The 24,413-nt window shown below is 37.5% G+C and overlaps 1 protein-coding gene and 1 long non-coding RNA gene across 4 annotated transcripts in view; one reads left to right on the top strand and one right to left on the bottom strand.

Moving 5' to 3' along the window:
• Positions 1–24,413, bottom strand: part of IL1RAPL2 (interleukin 1 receptor accessory protein like 2) — a 1,201,631-nt gene that overhangs the window by 53,206 nt on the left and 1,124,012 nt on the right. The gene's annotated exons all lie outside the window — the stretch shown is intronic.
• The window catches only part of LOC105373303 (uncharacterized), a 135,721-nt gene that overhangs the window by 82,729 nt on the left and 28,579 nt on the right, over positions 1–24,413 (top strand). The window contains exon 5 of one of the 2 annotated variants that reach the window (XR_007068300.1): positions 7,268–17,699. The exons of the other annotated variant lie outside the window; for it this stretch is intronic. This is a non-coding gene — a long non-coding RNA (uncharacterized LOC105373303). Of the gene's footprint in view, positions 1–7,267; positions 17,700–24,413 lie in introns of those variants that run through there. 2 annotated transcript variants of the gene reach the window in all.

Here is a 24,413-nt window from a genome sequence, read left to right as displayed (position 1 = left end):
GATTTCCTCTCTCTGTCTCATATGTGTGCCTTCTGCCATGGGATGACCCTCACCTAATGCCAACAGGTGCTGATGCTCTTGGACTTCTCAGCATCTAGAACTGAGAGCCAAATAAATCTCTTTTCCTTACAAATTGCACCATCTGTGGTCTTCTGTTATAGCAGCAGAAAATGGACTAAGACAGAAAAATTGGTACCGAGAGTGGGGTTGTTGCTATAACAAATACCTGAAGATGTGGGAGTGGCTTTGGAACTGGGTAATGAGCAGAGGCTGAACGAATCTGGAGGAAAAGGCTAGAAAAATCTTGTACTGATGTGGACAGACCATAAAGAGAATTCTGACAAGGGCTCAGGAGAAGAGGAGAGCTGTAGGGAAAGTCTGATCTTTTTAGAGATTACTTAAGGGGTTATGACCAGAATGTTGGTAGGAATATGGACAGTAAAGGCAACTGTGATGAGGTATCAGAAAGAAATGAGAAACAAGGTACTGAAAACTGGAGTAAAGGCTATCCTTTTTATAAAGTGGCAAAGAAGGTGATGAAATTGTGTCTGTGTCCAGGGCTTATGGAATGCAGAGCTTAAAAGTGATAAACTAGGGCATCTGGTACAAGAAATATCAACGCAGCAAGGTATTCAGGCTACTGTATGGCTACTTTTCATTGTATATAGGGAGATATGAGAGCAAAGAGATGGCTTAAAGATGGAATTAATACTTAAAAAGGGAAGCAGAATAGAAAAATTTTGAAAATTTGCAAGCTGGCAAGGTAAAGAGTGAAAAGGCATCTTTAGAAGAGAATACAAAAAGTGTGGCCAAGCAACCATTTGTTAAAGGAATTAATACGCATAGAAACAAGCCAGGTGCCATCCATCAAGACAAGGGACAAAAGACCCCAAAGGCATTTTGAAGATCTTTGAGACAGCCTCTCCCATCACAAGCTCAGGGGCTCTAGCAGGGCAGAACTGTTTGGGGTAACAGGCCTGGGGTATCCTCCATGGGCTCTGATATGGTTTGGCTCTGTGTTTCCACCCAAATCTCATCGCAAATTGTAATTGCCATGTGTCCAGGGATGCACCTGGTGGGGGATGATTGGATCATGGAGGCAGTTTCCCCCATGCTGTTCTCATGACAGTGAGGGAGTTCTCATGAGATCTGATGGTTTTAAAATGTGTCAGAGTGTGCAAGCCCCAAGCCTTGGCAGCTTTCACATGGTGTTGGGCCTGCAGGTGTACAGAACACAAGAATTGAGCTTTGGGACCCTCCGCCTAGATTTCAGAGGATGTATGGAAATGCCTGGATGTCCAGGCAGAAGTCTGCTGTAGGAGTGGAACCCTCATGGAGAACCTCTGTTAGAGCAGTGTGGAAGGGAAATGTGGGGTCAGAGCCCTGATAGAGAGTCCCCACTGGGCCACTACCTAGCGGATCTGTGAGAAGAGGACCACCATCCTCCAGACCCCAGAAATATAGATCCACTGACATCTTGCATCATGCACCTGAAAAGGCTAAAAGCACTCAACACCAGCCCATGAAGGCAGCCACAGGGGCTGTACCTTGCAAATCCACAGGGGCAGAGCTGCCCAAGGCCATGGGAGCACACCCCTTGTAATAGCATGCTCTGGATGTGAGACATGGAGTCAAAGGAGATTTTGGAGCTTTAAGATTTAATGATGGCCTGGCCAGGTTTCAGACTTGCCTGGGGCCTGTGGCTTCTTTGTTTTGGCCATTTTCTCCCATTTGGAATGGGAACATTTACCCAATGCCTGTACCCCCATTGTATCTTGGAAGTAACTAACTTTCTTTTGATTTTACAGACTCATAGGTGGAACGGAGTTGCCTTTCCTCAGATGAGACTTTGGACTTGAACTTTTGAGTTAATGCTGGAATGAGTTAAGACTTTGGGGGACTATTGGGAAGGCATCACCACATGTTGAAAGGGAGGGACCAGGTTGGAGGTGATTGTATCATGGGGGCAGTTTTCCCCATGCTATTCTCATGATAATGAGGGAGTTTTCATGAAATCTGATGGTTTTAAAAGTGGCAGTTTCCACTGTGCACTCTCTATCTCCTGCCACCATGTAAGATGTGCCTTGCTTTCCCTTCACCTTCCACCATAATTGTTAGTTTCCTGAGGCCTCCCCAGCTAAGCAGAACTGTGAGTCAATTAAACCTCTTTCCATTATAAATTACCCAGTCTCAGGTAGTGTCTTTATAGCAGTGTGGGAATAAACTGATACAGGCTCACTGCTCAGGGCCACCTTAGGACTCTTCTCCCTGAATCCCAGCGTAGCACCCCTCAGCCACCCAGCCATGGCTCAAGAGGGCCCAGATGTAGCTAGACTTGCCAAAATGGAAGGTATAATCTATAAGTCTTGATGGAGTTAAGTCTGCAGGCTTGCAAAATGCAAGAGTTGTGTGTGCATGGATGCTGTTGATAGCCTAGGGCCCTAGGGTAAAACCAGCCACAGGGCTAGAGCTACCACAGACAGTTCCCACTAGGGGAATGCCTAGTGTGGCTGTAGGAGTGGGGTCACCTCAGAGACCCCAGAACTGTAGGGCCACAAGCATATAACACCAGCCTCCAAAAGCTACAGGCATGAGACTACAACCTGTGAGAATTGCTGAGTAGACTGAATCCATAAAAGCCCCAGGGTTAGGGCTGCCAAAGGGTTTGAGGGTTTGAGGACCCAGCCACATACCCCAGTGTACCCAGGATATGGGACAGGGAGGCAAAGCAAATTATTCTCCAGTTTTAAGATTAAATGTTGTATTCCATTTTGGGTTTTGGACTTACTTGAAACCAGTTATCCATTTTGGTATGGGAATGTCTATTGTATGCCTGTCCCACTATTGTATTTTGGAAGTAGATACCTTCTTCAATTTCACAGGCTCACAGATGGAGGAATTTGCCCCAGGATGCATCATACCTTAAATCTCATCTATGTCTGATTTAGATAAGACTTCAGACTTTAGACTTTTGAGATTATGTTGTAATGAGTTAAGACTTTGGGGCTATTGGTATGGAAGGAATGTATTTTGCATTGTGAGAAGGATATAAGTTTTGAGGGACCAAGAGCAGAATGTCTCCTCCAAAGCTCATGTTGAAATTCAGTTGCCAATGTAATAGTGTTGAGAGGCAGGATCTTTAAGAGGTGATTAGGTAATAAGGGCTCTGCTGTCACGAATCAATTAATGCCATTATCACAGGATTAGTGCCATTATTGAGAGAGAGAGAGTGGACTCCTAGTAAAAGGATGAATTCAGCTGGATTTCATCTCTCTGACTTGCACACTCATGTTCTTGCCATGTGATGCCTTCTATTACAGGATGACCCTCACTAGATGTTGGTGCCATCTCTTAGATTTCTCAGTCTCCAGAACTGTGAGCCAAATAAATCTTTTTCTATATTGTCCACTCTGTTGTATTCTGTTACAGCAGTAGAAAATGGACTAAGAGACCCATTAATAGTTTTTCTTACAGTACGTATCATCTGTTCTATATGTTAAGAAGGAAAAAGCTGAAAGCCAGTGATCCCCGGGTGTAGCTTCACTGAGAGGGAGAGAAACATATATTCTCTCATTTTGAAAATAAAATTCCTATATATTCACATATATCTATATATGTATATGTATGTGTATGTATATATACACATACATATGCACACATATATATATAAATATATATATATATTTATATGTATATCAGTGTAATTTAATCACAAGGTAGTTCATCATTCCTCACACTGGCCTTTTCTATCAGTCATCCAATATATCAAGTACCCACTTGCAGCCAATGTTGTACTGGTAAAAATACCAAGGTCCTTTCTTTCTCTGAGATTATTATCTCAAACAAACTGAATGAATCATTGAGATTTAGAAACAGGCTCAGATAGGAATTAACTGACTTTTCTGAGGTCAAATTATGAACCAGCTTTGATGTTGTTTTACAGAAATTAATGTCTTCCAATATGTAGTACAGTGTTTAATCTACTAAAAAAAAGAAGTTTGACATTTCAGAGTGATTTTATAAAGCCCTTTTAAATTCTTTATTCTAAAGAAGAGCCCTCTCCCCATCATTTCTAAATTAAATGAAACAGTCACAGAGGTAAATTCTAAATTATAGTTGAGATAAAGCTATTATGAAGCTAAAGGAAGGAAGAAAGAATTTATTTCTTCCAGTAAGATACAAGGGAGATGAAAAGTTGATGAGGCAGAAAGACATGAGTTAGTTATCCCAGATGGTGGAAACCGAAAAAAAAAAAAAAAAAAAAGTAGGATTTTCTACCCAGACAACAGTGACCGTGAGATAAGACAGTGGCTACCAAAGCTAATTAATCTGAGAAGGAAGAAGACCAGGAGAAAATACTTGAGTAACCTTAGAATAGAATAATGATTTGGGAGAGAGAAAGAGATAGACAAAGAGAGACTGAGACCCATAAACTTTCTACTATTTCTGGTTTCAAAGAATGTATGTGTGAAGCCAGGTAATGTTTCTTGGGGATGGTGGGGAATATGTTCATAGTTATTTGCCTGTGCTAGAGGGAAGTAGCACAGCAGCAGACCTCAAAGTAAGATGAGACAGAGCATTGTTTTCTTGGTTAAAGGAGTATTGTTGTTGTTGTTATTGTTGTTATTGTTTTGGTACACAATTGGCTCAATCAGATAAGAGTTACAAAGTCCACTGGATGAGGAATTGTTTAGTTATAAGACTTACATAGTTGTGTCACCAAGTTGCCCCAATCCCAATAGAAGTTTCTGTTACTGAATTTTATCTAGGTTGAATGAATAAAACCCCCATTGTTACTACATATCCCGCCCATTAACTTTGCTTCCTTTTTCCTTTTTCATTTCCTTTGGACAAGGAGTGTGGCTCAGAGTCTTAAGATCCTAGTTTTCTCAGTCATATCTCACATTTAAGGGTACCAAATGTAGGCAAGGCAAAGACATTTCATGTAAAGAGTACTAGTGTTAGGACGTCAACGTTATAGCCCCAGCCCTTCCACTATACTGCTTTGATTTTTTTGACAAGCCCATTCCTCTAATAAGCCACACTTTCTTCTTCTAAAAATTATAGGGTCAACTGAGAGAATCTCTAAGGACTCTTTCAGGTCTGATGTTCTCATATTTTGTAGCTGGCCTAGAGTGTTAGAATTTTCCAAGTGGGATGAACTGTGTCACTTTTAGTCCTAGCTCTCGAGTGCCAGTCATTAGTTCCTTCTGCAAAATAAAAAGCATGTAAATCTCTGTGCCTCAGGTAGCTTTTAACTTTAGCGTCAAGGTCCCTGGGCCATTTGGTTTTTGGCCTGAATCAGCTTGCTTTCTGTGCCTGGAATCCCAGTTCCTGTGTATCCCTTAACCTCTGTTTACTTCATAGTGGGTTTCCTGCCTATAAACCCTACCTTGCCTTGAACCCTAGGTTCTCTCCACCTAACCTGACCCTGGCTGCTTCTGTTGGCTCTGCTGATCTTGGCTTATGACCCTGCTTTCTTTGACCCAGTGTTTTTCATATCTCAGCTTGACAAAGGAATTTTTAAAAGCTCCCTATGGAAAAGACAAAATCCTTGGATATTAACTCACTATACTAGCAAGTCCAAATTATACTCAGCAAATTGAGATGTCAGGAGAGTTGAAGCAAGCAAATATGTTGTATGTGTGTATTCAAATGTGCATATAGTTGCAAAATAATTCATTTGGATTGAATTAATAGTTTAAAATTAAATACACATGATTCTTTGTATTGTGTTAGGTGAAGGAAAGAAACTAAAAATTCCCATATTGATTTAGAAATCTAGGTTTGTAGAGTAGCCAATCTATACAATCATATCAATTGAAAAATGGTTTCAGTCCATATTAAATTCATATTTAAAGTTGTTATTTTCATTTGTTTCAAAAGTTATTTACTTGGCTCTACACTACATGGAATTAAGTGTTAAAGCTTACAAAGTTAGGTCTATTCTAGCAGCTAGACAAGAGAGTAGTAAAAATAGAACACAGAGTAACCATTACTTCCCAAAAAAGAGGTCACCTTTGTCATTTGAGAACATCTGATTGGAAACAGAAATCTTTTTCACTTTCCCAACTTCTGTATCATCAAAAGTACTTTGAATCCCTTACTAATAAGATCACAACTTTTGGTACTAGGAATGACTTGCTAGTTAAATCCTGCTGTACAAGTTTGGAAAAAAAATGAATCAATACAAACATGGCAATTCTTATTGTATATCTGAAGATTGATCCAGGTATTATATGGTGACTGAAGAAAATACTGATGTGTTTTCTGGACATTATAGTGAGATTTAAAACACAGCTGTGGAAAGTTTTTAAAATATCCTCAAAAAATAAATGAATAATATGTGTCTGTAGTTTTAACATAGGTCCCATTCACTTTGATAAGTCTTGTTGGCTGTCTGCACACCGTGACTCTAGAAATGATGTTCAAAATAATCCCACAAGGATCCTTTAATCCTTTAGAAAATGGAAATATCAAGGTTTAATGCCTAGTTGAGAAAATGAAACGCAAAGCTGTCCACATATTACTGATCAGATTCATGTCACAGTATTGATTTTCTGAAGTATTATAAGGGTTCTTTTAGACTATTAATTTCCTTTGATGACAAATCCCTCTGGTCTTGCCATTCATTATACTCTATTTTGTAGCCTACGTGATTGGCATGCCTTTACCCTCCACTTTTGCTCACTTAAAGCCTCATCCATCAAAATATAGCTCAAGTGCCACCGATACCATGAAGCCATCCCTGACTTCCTTAATGCACACTCTGCTTTCTCTGAATCCCATTTTTATACATGTCACAGGAAGTTAAAAGTTTAGCTGCACTTTGCTTTATATAATTATTACAACAAAATAAGCTAAGTGCTTAAGGTATTCTGACCAAATTAATCATCACAGAAACCCAGGGAGTAAGGTATTATTATTCTCAGTTTACAATGAGCAGAGAAAAGTAGAAAGAAGTTAACTTGTTTGAAGCCACAAACATTGTAAGTGGGAGAAATATAAAAGCAGACAGCTAGACTCTAGAGCCAAAGATCCTAAACACTCCTCCATACTGCATTTCACAGGTGTTTGCCTCCTCTTCCCAAATAAATGTTACAGTCTTTAAGGATGGAAACCATATCTTATATTTCACTTTCATTTCCTTAGAGGAACTAGCATGCTGCAAGGCACATGGTTGTGCTCAATAGTACTTGTTTGATTCTCAAACGCTTAGTTCAATTCGACTAATTTTTCTTATTTTTAAATCGGTTTTCTCTTGCAGCATTAAATGTATCTTTGCCGGTCTTCACCAATCCATTTTGGAATGAACCAGGGTACAAATAATAAATAATGGCCTTGAAGTTCAAGTTTTCCCTTTCATTTGCTAACCCTTTTAAAGAAGGAGGAGGGAGAAAGGAAAGGGAAGAGGAGCCAAACTGATCTGAGTTGCCTTTTCAAAAATTCTTGCAAGGCAGAGTCAACAACAAAATGGGAGAAAAGAACCTCAATGTTTATATGCCTGTGGAAATCATTCCGAGTGCTGTATTCAGGTGATACCAATCTACGATTGTCACCATCTCTTTTTGCTTGAAATTTGGATTTTATCTTGAATTGTATGTAATCTTTCTTTCCCCATGTCCATAAGTTCCTGAAGAGAGAAGGAAATGAGTTCAATGTATCCACTATGGGAGAGTGTAGCAGTTATATGCCATTTAATAAGTTTGAATATTTTTGTTCTGTTCTTTGAAGACAGGAGGTTACATAAATGACAGAAAATAAAGGATATTAAAGCTAATTATTGCAGTTAGCAATATCATAATAAAGAAGTCACCTCTCCTGCTGCCTCTGCTGAAGGGCATAATTTAAAAAAGTAAAGACCCATCATTGCTCACAAGAAAAGTCAGAAGTCAGCTTCTGAGTCTTAGGCAGGAATGGCCTGAATGTAATTCACAAAGTTGGTGAGGTTCTCTTGTATCCTCCAGGGCTTTATCCGCATTCCTTGAGCCATGTACTCTCCAGCTCTGGGTCTTTACATTACTCCTCCTGTAAAACTGAGCCAGCCATCCTGCTAGGAATGGATTCCCAACTCCATCATTGTTCTTGCCTTTCCTATGAGTATCCTTGACTGCCTCTATTCTAGTCACTCAGCCTTGCTAGTTTACACAACCCTTCCTCACTGGAACTTTCCACTACTCTTTGTTCCTTCCTTGGTAAAACAATTGGCTAGTCTCATCAAATAATGCCCAATCATTTTCCAGTATGGGATAAAGCTAATAAGGAAGTTCTCCATTCTTTACCATGTAATGTGCATTTTTTTCTTTGAAAATTAATGTGTATCTTTAGCAGTTTCTCAAATAGTGGGAAAATTGTTAAGCAATAAGAATTGCTTAACAGCGGAGATTTCTAAAATTCCTCACTACTCATCTACTGACTCAAAGTCCTCAAAGCAGTTGCTCAACAATCCTTTCTCTCTCTCCTTCAAAATTCTCTTCCAAATTCACAGGGAACTATCCTGTCTCCTCAGTCATCCCTACTCTTCCTCTCCTCTGGATCTAGTTCTGTCTTCAATAAGTTGTTCCCTGCCCTTTCCTTTATAAGCTTCTATAAAGCTGTAATTTTTTAATATGAAAATACTAAATGCTATAAAATTAAATCACACACTACAACCTTCCAGTCACACTATTAATTACTTCATAAGTATCTTGCATATAGGCTTCTGAAAACAGTGATCTCTCTATTTTGTATTTCTAAGCTTTTATATTTTGTTCCATAAGCATGCCACTTCATTTCAACAAACATATAACAAGTATCTACAATGGGCAAGATCCCTTCCTAGGTGTTTGGGGATACGTTAAATATGTCAGTCTCTGCCTTCAAGGATTGTTGTGTCACTAAGAATAATTTATCAAAGATAGCTTCATAGCATGTCTTAGATTGGTAGTTTTCTTATCACTTGTTTTTGTTCAGTCTTCTGAACTTTTATAAACTTCCTAGGGCCAGGACTGTGCCTTATACTGTTCCATATTTCCCACAGTATGAAGGTTGTAAAATAAATAGACCAGGAGTGACATAGTTGGGGAAAATATCTCAAAGTCAATTGTTCTGTTACACCCATCTCTCTACTTGACTGGAACCAACAGGGACCTCAATATTCTTCCACTTTGGTCCATTTCTCACACTGTCTTGTATTTACTTCTGTAGTCAAAAATCTGATTAAAAAACAGCCTCTTTCCCCTGAAGCTCTCAAGTTAAAAAGACACTCACAGTTTAGTTTTCTGTACAAACTGTACAACAAATTCCTGAGTAACTGCGATTTTTCTGTATTTTTTTATCTTTGGCCTACATATACAGGTACACACACATACACACACATATATATCTACTAGTACAGATATTTTATTTTCTATCTATCTGTATCCGTCTATCTATTCATCTATCATCTATCTATTTATTAGTCATCCCCCCCACCCCAAATGACATGGCATTCTCTCCCTGAATTAATTACATCAGTTTTTACCACAGCCCTCTTACATAGTGTATGTGTGCACATGAGTATGTAGTAGGTAAATCAAAAATTATCTCAGATATAATCTGTTGACCAAAGTTGTACATTTGCTATTTGGCTCTGCTAATCACCTGAAGATACAGCAAGAAGGAACACCATAGAAAACAGCTCAACGGGAAAAATGTTCTTACAGAATTTGCACTTGGTTACATGGTATATAGTAAAACTTTAACATTAAAATTAGAAAACAGCTCAACGGGAAAAATGTTCTTACAGAATTTGCACTTGGTTACATCGTATATAGTAAAACTTTAACATTAAAATTGCTGCCTCTCCTGTTGGTGGGTGGGGTGGTGGGAGGGAGAACATTAGGAAAAATAGCTAATGCATGCTGGGCTTAATACCTAGGTGATGGGTTGATAGGTGCAGCAAACCACCATGGCACATGTTTACCTATGTAACAAACCTGCACATCCAGCACATGTACCCCAGAACTAAAAATAAAATTTAAAAGAAAAGAAAATTGCTGCTTCTTTAGAACAAAGATTCCCAAAGCAAGGGACAAAATAGCATAGACAAGATTTTTTAAAGTATATTTAATATTTTAAATACTTTAAAAAGGAGAATTATTACAAGTTCTTTAAAACAACCATTTAAATATAAGCAATTTGCTTGATGCCAACCATTTTTGTCTACTTGTTAAGGCTCCACTGGCAAGTGAGGTTAGCCTATGTATGGTACCATTACAATTCAGTTATATATTACGCAGATATCTTAGTTGAGTTGATGGATAATTGTTTAGCTTGTATTTTTTCTTACTCAAATATTTTAGCAACTCGGTGAAAAAGTTGTGTATGTGTTTTAAATATATATTTGATTATTTTAAAACCTGGATTTAAGCTGTATTCTACATGACTAAGCAATCTAAAAATCAGCCTGTTGTTGTATATAAGACTTGCACATACAATTTGTTTGGAATGTACAACATTCTGCTTTGTATTATCGTTGTGTATATTGCTAACTTCCCTTACTATACTGTAAGCTCTTTGGCAGGTCACATAACTAATCCATCTTGGTAACCTCTGAAAAGCCTAGCAGAGTGTTTTGCACATTGTGTGCTTTCAGTACATGCTAAATTAATGAACTAAACTAGCTTCCAAGAGACCTCGCCTAAGCAATACTTCAACATCTATGTTCTAAGTACTTCATGTACTTGAAAGTAATATAACTACATGTCTTTAAAATGCACTTAATAATTCATATTTTTCACTATTTCTGACTTGTCATTTCATCCAACTTAATCTGAGACAGTGAGGTTATGCTGTTTATCTTTACACAGAGAAATCAAACACACATTTGATACCCACCAAGATTCTTTCAAAAGACATATGGAGAAGAATGAATGCAGATAAAGTTAGTTACAGCATTGCATATCTTTCTCTAATGCAGTTAGAAGGGAACTTTGAGATCATCGTCTCATCCTCTCATCTTCTCACTCTAGATGAGAAATAGAGGGCACAGTTTTAAATGACTTGTCCAAGAACACACACTGACTGTTGGCAGAGCTTGCAATGTAGTCCAAGTGCCTGCCTCTAAGTTTAATGCTTTTTCCAATATAGCAGCTATCTGTGGCCCTTACATTGTGAGACCCCTGTCATATCTTCCTGAGGGGCTTTTTCTTGGCTTTCAACCTCTTCCCTTTTCCATTTTTTTTCTGTAGACTTTTGCCATATTTGTTTTCCCTAAGCATAGGTGTATTCATTACACAACTTTGCTTCAAAATATGAAAAGGTCCCCATAATCTACCAATTTAAATGGTTCTCAATAGGGTGAAGTTGTGCCCCAGAGGGAGCATTTGGTAATATCTGGGACATATTTACTTCTCAAAACTGAGGGATGTGGTGTTATGGGCATCTGGTGGTATAGACCAGGCATTCTTCTAACCATCTTACAGTGCATAGGACATCCCCCACAACAAAGAATAATCTAGTCCCAAATGTCAATAGTGCTGAGATTAAGAAAACTTATTCTAGAATTAGAGGATTTTCAGGTCCTGATCTTAACTTTCTTTTCCAGAATTATTTCCTACAACCTTCCCACACTTAGAAACATTGATTGAAGTGCTTTCTATTTTTTATAGATGTGCTATACTTTCCTATTGCCCTGATTTTGCTTAGCTTGAAATGGTTTTCCTCATCTGTCTACATTTTTCTTATTTGTTAAAGACTGAAGTATATAACCTGCTCCATAAAAACCTTCTTTGATCCTTACAACCAGATCATCTTTTCTCTTTTCAAGGCTCATAGAAATATGAATGCAGACTGTTTTTATTTTTGAAAATCTTATATATTATTTTGCCAAAGTCTGATTGTTAGACTCTGAGGAATCTGTGAGAAAATGTACACTAAGTTTGGAGTCCAAAGACTTCTAACTCCACCATTTACTAAATATGTTTAACCTTGCACATGTCATTGCACCCCAGTGGGCCTCATACTTTTCATCACTGAAATGGGACTAATAATGCCTACTTCCTAAAGGTGGTCAGAGGATGAAGTAAAATTTTATGAATAAAAGTGCTTTGTAAGTTTTAAAGCACTATGCCAATATGAGGGGTTGTTATTTTTATTGCAAGGGGAGCTAGCTCTTGAAAGGCAGTTAAAGCTTCTATTTTACCTCGTGTAGGGAATAAGCAATGCCCGTGACCATACTGCAAATTTTCTGGCTGGCCTTGTGTGAGGGCAGGACATATGCTTAAGTCGACTTTAATTTTCCCCATGAAGAATACAGTGTGTTCTTTGTGCCTTGCATCTACCCAGTATGGTGGTAAGGAAAACACTTCCTTTTTCTGGAGAAGAAAGAGAACAGGGGAGTGCACCAACCGATTATTCACAACAGGAATGCCAGGGGCAACAAGAGGCCTGCAAAACATTTTTTTCTGCAGTCAAATACACCCAGCTCATAAAGAATGCCGTAATTTACTTCTAGTTCCTTGCAAAGACATTTTTGGAAGTGTTGCCTTTGCCATCCCAGAATCCCCAGAATGCAGCTGTACTTTGTTAGCCAAAGTTTAAGAATAAAATAAATGAGTAGTAATAAGAAAAAACCTGACTTGGAGTTTTTATTCTTAGATGATAACTTGCCATATTTGTGGAGGTCTTGCTAATTATATTTTGTATAACACAAATACCTATGGAAATTAAGGCTGGATAAGAGGCCCTGGAGCTTGAGATAATAACTATACAGATGTTTCACACTAGAGGTCACTCTTGCAATCTAAGAACAAAATTCTGAAAAGAGGAAAACACAGCAAAACAAAAGAAAAAGCAAACAACCATCAACAACAACACAACAATGCACATGATATCAGTGCAAAAAACAAGGATATAGTTTTTCCTTTGAAATCTATGAAGATGCTCTTAAAATGATCAAATAAATTGGTAAGGAGTCGAACTGTCATTATGGAGTATGAGAGAGCTAAAAAGTAACAATTGCTCTACTTGGCAGGAAGGCAGGCAGGCAGGCAGGTAGGTAAGTGGCCAGTTCCTCCCTGGCTTGGGACATCAATCTACAGCTGCCCTGAAGTGATTAGCTTGATATAGATCTAAGTAGACTGGAATGACATACACATTTTAAACCAACTGAGAAGCTGGTAAGAGGAATTGCAGGAATTCAATGTCGCAATATATTAAAAAATAAATACTCTTTGTACCTGTTTGTTTAATGAACAGTAGCTGTTATAGTGAAAATTCATTTCTTAAACAGATGGAAAATGTCTAAATGAGTGGACTTAAAATCACCCTTGAGTTGTCTCAAGGGTAGGCACGTATTTGTGCATTATAGATCACTATCTATGTGTTTTATGATGTAAAGGTTTGAACTCTACTCTTACATCTCCATACCCTTCATTCCTTCTGCAAACCTAATTGGCCTGCATAGTGCCCAAAATTCCATCTATCATTCCTTTCTCAGGTTAATGCATTTTACTTTCAGTTGTCCTTTATTAAAATTTTTAAACTCCCAGGGGAAGAGGAATAGCAGATAGTTTTTCCCATCATTCAAACCTCAATTCATTTTTAAGATCCTCATTAGGGCACCTGCCATGAAGTCCCAAAGGGAGATAGGACATGTGACCCTGGAGGAAATATTGATGAGGTCCAGAGGAGCAGGAGGAGAGTTATGGGTGGTAAACCTGAAGCACCACTGGGGAGCACTTGAGTAGAGAGGGGAGCATTGAAAAGAACATCTGGATAATAAAGTTTTCAAATTTTGTCAACCTAGTGGTATGAGATAGATTTAAAAATTTTAGCCTTTCATCTGCTTATCAAATCAACATGATCATTAAGAGATCTTTATCATATTTCTCTATGAAATAAAGGGGTAGTAAAATAATGAATGTTATTACTAAATAGAGTCTAATAAACAAGTTCTAGACCAATAATAAATCAAAGAAATACTGAAGCAGTAATATCTTTTTTCTTAATGACATGTTTAAAACAAAAACAACGCCATAGAAGTAGGCTTTGGTTTCACAACCTAGGATGTTTTGTTTACCAAGGCACATTAGCAAAATGTCACCATGAAGTCCCACTGAGACTTAAGTGCTTTTCAAGAATTTCAACCCCCATTGCCTGGGAGAATGACAGACAGCTATGTTGGAATGAAGGGAATAAAATTACAGGATTGAGTTTGGAAGACTAGGCAAGTTATTTAGGGAAATTGTTTTTACAATGTACATCTTTGAAGAAAATCAGATGATGTCTAAGCTTCTGTCTAAACATAGAGAATGAAGTGGTTACATGACTCAATTATCTCCAATAATTTAAGCTTAAAATAGACCTCTTTTGCCTCAGTTTTTCAGATTCAGTTCTCTGCCAAATTTATATAGGAAATTGATTTCACCACTCACTTTTCTCTGAATGCAGTGATGGAGCCGAAAGTAATGCAGAAAAAGTGACTCTTACTGAACAACTTAGCCCTCACCAATTTATACTGCTGTTTTTACTGTGTTCTATATCCTTGGGAGAATTTACCCTTTCTTATTAACACCAACCACTTCCACAATTAATGAAAAGTGGAAGAAATTGCCAGCCAGAAAAATTCTGTTGGTAAACAAAAAACAAAACTCAGAATATATTTAAAACAAAACAACAGATACTCCTGAGAAAAATTCAGCAGCTGCTTGAAGACATTTGAAAGGAGTAATTTATTCGCTTTTACCTAGAAGGCAAAAATTGATGGCTAAGAATCTGTTCTCTGCAACATGAGCTGACTGCAACTTGGAAACTCAAAAAAATCTAAGCAGTGACCTAGAGAAAAGGACAAAAAGGCACAGCAAGTTTTATGTTCAGGGTGTGTTTCATCCAAAAGAGATAAAATTGGGCCATGTTAAAAATAAATAAGCCTCTCTAAGAATTGCATCTAGCTTTGTACTAGGACTCTTGAGAAGGTCACAGGGAAAGCAGAGATGTGTCCAAGCCTAGAAGATGATGGATTACAAATCCCATCCCACAGAGGAATGTGGAAGATGAAGCAAGAGCCATGTAAATTAAGATAATCAAAGAAAGAGAATTTAACTGGAGGGAAAACACCTGGGTTCTAGTCCAAGATTATTTACTCATTTTACATCATATGACACAGAATAAATAACAACTTATCTATATACCTTGTTATAATGTCACTAGAATGTAGATCTAGGAAGGCAAGGATTTTTATGTGTGAAGTTCATCGCTACATCCCTAGAGCATGGAAGAGTAATTGACACGTAGTAGGCTCTCATAAACATTTGCTGAAAGACTGAATGAGTGAGGTGCATCTCTCTAATCTGTAAAGTATAATTTGTCTAGGAATATTGTGGCAGTTGGGTGACAGAATGCATGCACCGGGATTAATCCAGGTTTTGTGTGTCTAAAGTTTATACAAGTCAAGGGGGATTGTCTTAAGAAGAATGCAAGATTACAAATACAAAATTAAGTATAAAATTGATTATTTTTAGGATGAGAAAATAAACTGGTATATGTAACACATTTTAAAAGATGATAAATGCCACAAACATCACAAAATCCAGAAAAAAAACCCTACATATTTTCATGAATTAACTGCCTGACATACTTCAATAATAACTTTTATAACTTATACTTGTATTGCATATACTTTGTTTTTCTCTTCATATGACAACTTCGTAATATTTTCTATAAACAGAATGGAAAGGGAATTCAATAGTTCCTCTAGCATGGTTGATTGAGATTTGTTTTTTATTAATAAGTTTAGGAATTTTCTTCAGGTTTATAATTGTTATTGCTAATGTCATGTAAAGTTTGAGAATTGCTGTCAAATTTGGGGAACACCTACCCATTTTAAAAATCAGTTTTCTCTCAATTTTCTTTTAGATATAAAGTATTTTTTCACAGACTGATTTTAGCTCTCTATATTTCAAAGCTTATTTCTCTTACATTCACTTCTACTTCTGTTGCCAATCACTTAAGGACATGTTATTATCCTGAAATGACTTCTGGTTCTGTGGCCTCTGGCCCTTGGTTTAGTCAGCACAGTGGGTGGCAGGATGATTTCTTGGAAGTCATTTGATACTGGGGTGGCTAGCATAATCTAACTATATACAGAGGTGACTGTGCACTGAAAATGTCCTACTAAACCCAAATTAAATATTTCACCAACTCAAATTTTACTTAACTAAAGCCCTAAAATTTTCATGGTCACTCCAATGCTACCAGACAAGAGAAAAAGTGTCTAAGTTAAGTTTAGTTAAAATATCTTCGGAAAGCTTTACAAAAACATATAGTCAGATAAAAGCATTGCTAAAGCTACTCTAGGAGGTTTGGAGGGGGTTTGTAAGGCTTATGCCTCATTAGCTTCATTGCAAATCGACCTCTGAAGATAAGAGCACTTTGCAAAGTGCAGAGTGTTATACAAATACAGATAATAATAATGATGATAATGATAGTGGCAATGACAACAATGATGATGATTGTGTAATGTAAAAGATCTTAAATATTGTAGAAGATGACAAGTTATGGGAGAAGCAACACTTGGAGTCAGTCTGATGCTGTGTCTACTCCCCTCCCTTAAACATCTCTGGTAGGAACCAAATCCTTATTGTCTGATCTGAATCTCAGGAAGCAGGAGGGAAAAACTGTTGGCTTATATAACTACATAATTAATGTAGTGATTCCATAGAAAAGGGCCTCTAAATTCTGGTCCTAACAATGTCAAGAATTCCCTGGATTACCACTCTTATTTTTACTATGCAATTTTGAAGAAAAATATATAATGAGAAAAATAGCTACTAATTCACTAATGCTTTAACATAAATTGGTATTTTATTCATCATAACAGCATTTGTACACAACTCAAACATGCCAGTGGTGTATATATGAATAAGACATAATATTGATTCAATCTTCAGGTGTACTTATATGCATGTGCCATAATATGCCTTTGCAGTTTCTAAGCCAATTCTGACTTCAGCAGACAGTACATTAGAACAGTCCATCCTATCCATGGGTGGGTCTGGAATTCATCTTCCTGTCTTGATATTCTTTAAGCTACCATGTCCGCTATAGTTCCCAAGCAGTCAGCTGGCATCATATAAACAAAAGGGTCAATCAATCTCTCTCCGTACACATCGCAGCCCTAAATAGCTTGCTTCTACCCACTCTGAGCACTGCCTAATCAACTGCTGATTCCTCTGCCACTTAATCTCATTATTCTTTCTCCCACTTATAGTCCTGCTTCAAACCTCAGGATTGGCATTTAATAATGCATTTTTACCAAGAACTTTGCCTTCCTTCCTTGACTGAAATTTTGGTGTTTTTTTTTTTTTTTTGAGCTATGTTGGTTTAGGCCACTGATATAGTTTGGATGTTTGTCCCCTCTAAATCTCATGTTGATATGTGAACCCCAAGGTTGAAAGTGGGGCCTAGTGGGAGTTGCTTGTGTCATGAGGACAGAACCCTTATGAAGGGCTTGGTGCCATTCTCGTGGTAATGAGCTCTCGAGAGCTCTATTAGTTCATGTAAGAACTGGCTATTTAAAGAGCCTGACATTTCCCCCCCTTTTTCTCACTTCCTCTCTCACCACAGGACAAACCTACTCCCCTACTTCCCCTTCACCTTCCTCCATGAGTAAAAGCTTCCTAAGTCCTCATCAGGAGCCTAGTAGATGTGGGTGCTATGCTTTTACAGCCTGCAGAACCATGAGCCAAATAAACTTATTTTCTCAATAAATTACTTAGTCTCAGGTAGTCCTTTATAGTAATGCAAAGTGGACTAACATAGCCACCTAAAGTAAATACCCTGTTTTAGCTACACCTGGCTCCCAGAAACCCGTATCCAGGGGTACCTGGCTAGGTTTTTCCTGGTCCCCGGAGAGGAAACCAGATAACAGGGCTAGCCTATGTTATCCTTAAGGTGAGCCCTAGGTATTCACATGTGCCCTAAGTCACAGTCTTCTCCCTGCCATGTTTACAAAATTCTTACAAATTCCCTCATGGATGGATTTGAACTCCAGTCCATTTGGCCAGGACCATGACACTCTAATTTTTTCTAGTCCCTCGATTTTATTACTTTTGTGGGGGGGGTGGATGTGGTGTCCTATATTTATTCATCGTCAATAAACACATTGTTAGCACTTCATCTGCTTTGAAGTATTACCAGTCCTAAACACCAGATTGGTGCTCCTTGGCTATTTACCATAGTCCAGATCAACCACATCCCTTCAGATAGCACATCTCTTTAAATAAGACACACTGGAATGATCGCTAACCATCCAGAATCATGCCCTCCAGCTGTGCCAGGCCCCCTCACCCTAGTCCTGGGCTGACCTATCCTTTCTGTTTTACTGATTTATGTGGCTAAAGCGCCACATGTCTCAAAATTTTAAAATGACCAATTTGATACTGTTTTTATTCAGTCATCTATGATTCTCGTTATTTAATGTGTTATCCTTAATGTCTCTACCTAGATTATGAACTCCTTCAAGAAGGGAACCATTTCCTGTTCTTACATCTTTGCACATTCCTAGTACATACTGAATATTAGCAGGCTGCATTTAAATTTTCCAGAGCAGAGTCAGGATACATGAGGTGGGGAATTAAAAGGATTGGGAGAGAAGTCACAGTTAAGTGGGAATCTATTTCCCAGTCCTCTAACTGTCCTCCTGGCCTTAGATGAAACATCATTAGAGAATATTGTATGCAGACATTGCAGCACAGGTGAAAGAGCAATTGACTAAGAACATGGCATTTGAGTTAGGCAGAAAAGGATTTGATCTCTGGATTCAATTTCCAGCTTTCTCACTTTCTAGTTGTGGGTATTTGGTCAAGACACTTATTCTATTCACCTTAATTTCTTCATTTATACAATTGTGAAGGTAGTAGTATCTATTGTACAATGTTTTGTGATGACTAAATGATATGGTACGTTAAGATGCCTAACACAATGTCTGAGTCATAGTAATGCTCCATAAAGGGTAGCTTTTATGTTGTTACTATAGCTACTTTTTTGTAACTTGAGGCCTAAACACACCATGAGTTTCTATGCATGGATAATACATACCAAGGAAGCAGCTGCAATTCTATTTTTAGATTATTTTCTGTAAATTTCCAATTATAATAATAATAGCAACCAGCATTTATTGAACACTTATCCTATATTGGCTAGATTTCCTACCGTAGGAAAAAGTCCATAGGCTAATATCATCTAGCTGTAAGCCTCATGCAAATAATATTCATGCTCTAAAAGACATGATCTTCTGTATTTGGTGGCATGAGGATTTCCAATCTGAAAGTTTCCTTTGGATCTGACACATTTTTCCCTGAAAATACGATACCTCTTTTTGTTGCTTAACTACCTCATGTATCCATTGATTTATAAAATGTTACAGTCCTTGTCTACAATGATTAGACAAAAAATTAGAATAAGTTTTTTACATGGAAATTCAAAGTAGGATCATTTAGAAGCAGTTTTTTGATAACTTTAAGAATGGCACCTACCATATTTGTCTTTGCAATTTTCAAGATACCATGTGGGGAGATATGTACACTGTTGCTAAGGAAACTAGCTACATGATATAATAGCTCTTAAGAAATGAAGCTAACCTTCCTCAACTTTCAGTGTTCGTTGATTCCTCAGCTCACTAATGATTCACAAGGAGATAAAGAGGAACTAGTCTCATTTCCAGGGGAAAAATGCCTTAAAGGTCATTTTTCCTTTACAAATCACAGCCTCCCAAATGAAATCTTAATCAATTCATCATATTATGTGTAGTGTTCTATTGATGTGATTACTAAAAAGTGGCTTATTTGGATCTGCCTTTTTATTATTAGTTTCTCCTTTGATTTTTCTATATTAGCTGACATGGAAGGTGTTGATGTTGCTGTACCAGTTACATAAAGTCACAAGAATAGAAGTGAACAAGGGTACCCATTCCAGATGGAAGAGTAAGTGGCGGCATATGTCCATTAATATGAGATCTCAGGAGGGGATGAGGAAGGGGAAGGGATATGTAAGCAACATAGTCCAACCAGAAGAAAAGATCATGGGTCAGGAATTTTATGTTCTAGTTCAAGCTATGGGACATCAAGCAAATGATTTAACCTCTCTGGGCTTCAGTTTCCTCTTCTGCTAAAGGTAGATGATAATGTTTACTTAACTTCACAGGTTTGATGTGAGGATCAAATATGTTTCATCTTCCTCACCCTCTGCATTCAATTAATCATCAAATTTTGATGGTTTTACCTACTAAGTATGTTTTGAAATTCTCCATTCCTTACCATCCATCCTATAGCACCTTAAAGTCCTTTTCATGTCTTACCTGCGTTACTCTAATTGCCCCCTAACTTGTTGCAGTGCATTTTAAGAGGCAACAACTTCTTTATAGGTCTTCCAGTCAAGAGATGAATTCTATTTTCCTATCCCTGAATCTGGGCTGGCCTTATGACTTGCTTTGACCAACAGAACAGGGCAAAAGTAACACTGTGCAACTACTGAGCAAGGCCTCAGGAGGCTTGTAGCTTCTGCTTTTATTTAATCTCTTGTTGCCCTGAGAATGCCATGTGTATTAGTTTCCTATTGCTGTTATAAAAGACAAAAGCCACAAACTTAGTAGGTTAAAATAACACAAATTTATCTTATAGTTCTAAAAGTCAGAAGCCCAAAACTGCTTTCAGTGGATTCGTCAAAGTGTCATGAGGGCTGCTTTCCTCCTGGAAGCTTAGGGGGAGAATGTTTCCTTACATTTTCCAGCTTCAGTAGGCTGCCTCGGTTCCTTGGTTCATGGCCCAGCTTCCTCGAGCTTCAAAGCCATCATTGTAGCATATTTAAATCTCTCTCCAACTCTTTCACCTCTGCTTCTGTCATCCCATCTCCTTTTATGACTCTGATCCTTCTGCCTCTCTCTTATAAGGACTGTTGTGATTGGATTGGGCCCACCCAGATAATCTAGAATAATCTCTTCAACTCAAGGTCTGTGTTAGTCTGTTTTATGTTGCTATAAAGAAATACCTGAGGCTGGGTAATTTATGAAGAAAAGAGGTTTATTTGGCTCATGGTTCTGCCAACTGTACAAGCATGGACCAGCATCTGCTTCTGATGTGGGCCTCAGGAAGCTTTCATTCGTCAGGGAAGATGAAGAGGGAACAGGCATATCACATGGTGAGAGAAGGAGCAAGAGAGAAGGAAGTAAGAGAGATGTCAAGCTCTTTTAAACAACCAGCACTCTTGTGAACTAATAGAGCAACAACTCACTCATTACTATGAGGATGGCACCAAGACCGTCACGAGGGATTCGCCCCCATGACCCAAGTACCTGCCACCAGGCCCACCTCCAACATTGGCAATCACATTTCAACATGAGATTTGGAGGGGACAAAAATCTAAATCATATCAAGATCCTTATCTTAATCACATTTGCAATGTCTCTTTTACCACATAAAATAATATATTCCCAAATTCTGGGGATTAGGACATGAACACCTTTGCGGAGCCATTATTCTGTTTGCCATACCATGTAAAGAAGAATACGCTACCCTTTTAAGGTGAAAACCCATGGGTATAGAGAGGACCAGGAAAGAGCTAGCACAAATGATCAGACTTCTGGATGAGGCCCAGGAGAGAACAGCAGAGGAATAGTCCAGCTGAGCACAGCCCAAATTGCTGATCCACAGAAGAATCTTAAATAAATAGTTCACTACGTTTTGAGGGTTTTGTATTTTTATTATCAGATAACTGATATATTGTTCTCTTGGGATATAGGCTTACTGTCTAATTCTTTTTCCATACTGCTACTAGAGCAATCTATCTAAAATGGAATCCTGATTATGTCACTTCCTTGCTTAATACCCTACGATAGCCCCCTCTGGCCTTCAGGATAAAGTCAAAGTTGCTTAGCATGGTATTCAAGGCCCTCACCAACCTCAATCCTGCCCATCTCTCCCACCTTTTTTTTTTTTTCATTCAGCATTCATTTCTTTGAAATGTGTGCCCCTGCATCATTTAATTCTAGCTTTTGTTATTGAATATTGCTTTGTAATTATCTGAGTACATGTCTGTCTCCATCCCTAGACTGGGAACTCAAAGCCAAGGATGTTGCTTCATTTACATATATACTTCAGGTGCTTAGCACAGCACCTGGGCTATAATGTTCCTCAGTTAACAATTTCAGGAAATTTAGCTTCTGCATTTTGTAGATCATATTAATCAACTTATTAAAATACAGGTGAGAGTCTCCAAATAGCTAGCTGACATCTCAGTGGACTAGCTATCAACATTTGCTAGCTCTGTAAGCATGGACAGATTATTTCAGTTATCTGTGTCTTCGTTTATTTGCCTGTAACATGGAGATAATATTAGTGCCTATCTCAGAGTTGTGGGGAATAAGTGAATTAATGTATGTAAAGTGCTATGCAGACTAAGAATCGTTGTAACGATTGTTGTGGTAGTGGTCATAGTAATGGTGATGTTTGTTAACTCTACTATCTATGAGGGTATGTTAACTCAGTTGAAGATTAACCTGTACAAAACCATATTAGGAATGGAATCTGAAATATTCCCAATAAAACTCATTATAAAATATATTCTAAAATAGTTCCAAATTATTTCTATTTGTAGAAAAAAATACTGTGTTTCAGTAGAAATCTATTTTTCAGTGGAAAACTTGTGCCCTGTTTAATTCTAGATCTGCTCATTTTCTTTCAGCTATGTTATAACTGGAATTTTTAAAGTCTGTGCTACTGGGTGGAGAATTAATTGACTTTTCTTCACCCTATGCCACCCTTCTTCATAAAAAAAAATCAGTTTTGTTTCCATTTGCATTTCATCTCATTACTACTTTATTCTATATACATTTGTGATTTTTTGACTTTAAAAACCAGTTAAAACATATGTCTGGCTTCTTTAATAATATATGAGTAAAATCTTTAGGATATGTTTATTTTTATATCTGTATGAGAGCCATGATTTTACCTTTTTCTGAAAATTATCTTTTAACAGTTTAATCCAAGCATGTCTTTACTTGGCTCTAAGAAGGTGAATCCAAAGTGGCAATAGAACTATGCTGACACTGTTTTTGTAATATTTATTTTGCACTCTACTAATTTTGTTTTGGTTTATGGCCAATAAGTTGCTTCCCATTGAGAATTTGGTCTTGTGGTATGACTATTTAGTGATCTCTGTAAGTGGATTAATGGTTTTTAGTGATCTTTGTTGGCTGAGGGACAATAGAAAATCCGATTTGTTAGTCTTTTCTGCTTGTTTGTTTGTCTATTTTAAGCTCAAGTTCAATTAAGAATTGAAGAATGGGAAGAGACCATCTGATTGATTTGGACCAATGAGTTATATACTTCTGAGTTTACTCTTGGCTCCTGGCTGATATTTTAGAATTGATGCCATAAGCTCTTACTGTGTCTGCATGTCTAAGTGTCTGTACTTCATAAGGAACTTTACTTCTTTTTTTGTAAGGATATGCCATGGACTGAATTGTGTCCCACCAAAATTCATATGTTGAAGCCCTAACCCTCAATGTGACTGCATTAGAGATAGGCTCTTTTGGAGGCAATTAAGGTTAAATAAGGTCATATGGGTGGGGCCCTGATCTGATAGGACTGTGACCAAAGAAGAGGTCATGTGCACCACAGCAAGATGGCAGCTACCTACAAGTCAAGAGAAGAGACCTTCAGAATAAAACCTATCTTGCTGGCACCTTGATCTTGGACTTCTCAGCCTCCAGAACTGTGAGGAAAAAATTTTTGTTGATTAAGCCACCCAGTTTATGGTGCTTTGTTGATAGCCTGAGTAAACTAAGACAGGGTATAATATTTTGCTATGTTTGGGTGATATTAATAAATTAGAATATAAAGTATCTTAGAGGATTCGCTTATAGAGATGGTTAAATTCTTATGTAATTAGAATATTCCTAAAATTCTCAGAAAATAAGGAAATTGAATTTCTAATGTTTTTGGTATGTTAGATTTTAAAAGTATTCTCACAGAATTCAGAAACCAATTCAAAACATTTTAAGAATTCGAGTTCACATAATGTAGGTAAGTGCTTGGTGAATGAGACTAGCTTAATATTTTGGCTTAATAAAAGACCTATGTCTTTTCTGATTTATCATTATTAAGTAGAAGTGTAGATTTTATTATACTTCGGCATGTTCTTCCTAAAGTTGTACAGATTTACTGAGGGAATAAGCTAATATTGCATCTACTTAAGGTTGAAGATTATGAAGAATGTAAATTTGTGTTTAATCAAACAGAATAATTATTCTGGCAAACTTTATTTAACCAGTAATTATGTTTTATAGTATGTCAGCTTGAAGATAATTTCCAAGATCTTTAGATAACTTAAAACGTTAAGTTGATAACATTTTTTAAATTTTTTTATTTTTATTAAAAAAATTTTTGTTATTATAC

This window comes from Homo sapiens, chromosome X (genome assembly GCF_000001405.40).
Source record: "Homo sapiens chromosome X, GRCh38.p14 Primary Assembly".
In the NCBI taxonomy this organism is placed as follows: Eukaryota; Metazoa; Chordata; class Mammalia; order Primates; family Hominidae; genus Homo; species Homo sapiens.
This window is presented reverse-complemented; position numbering and strand designations above follow the sequence as displayed.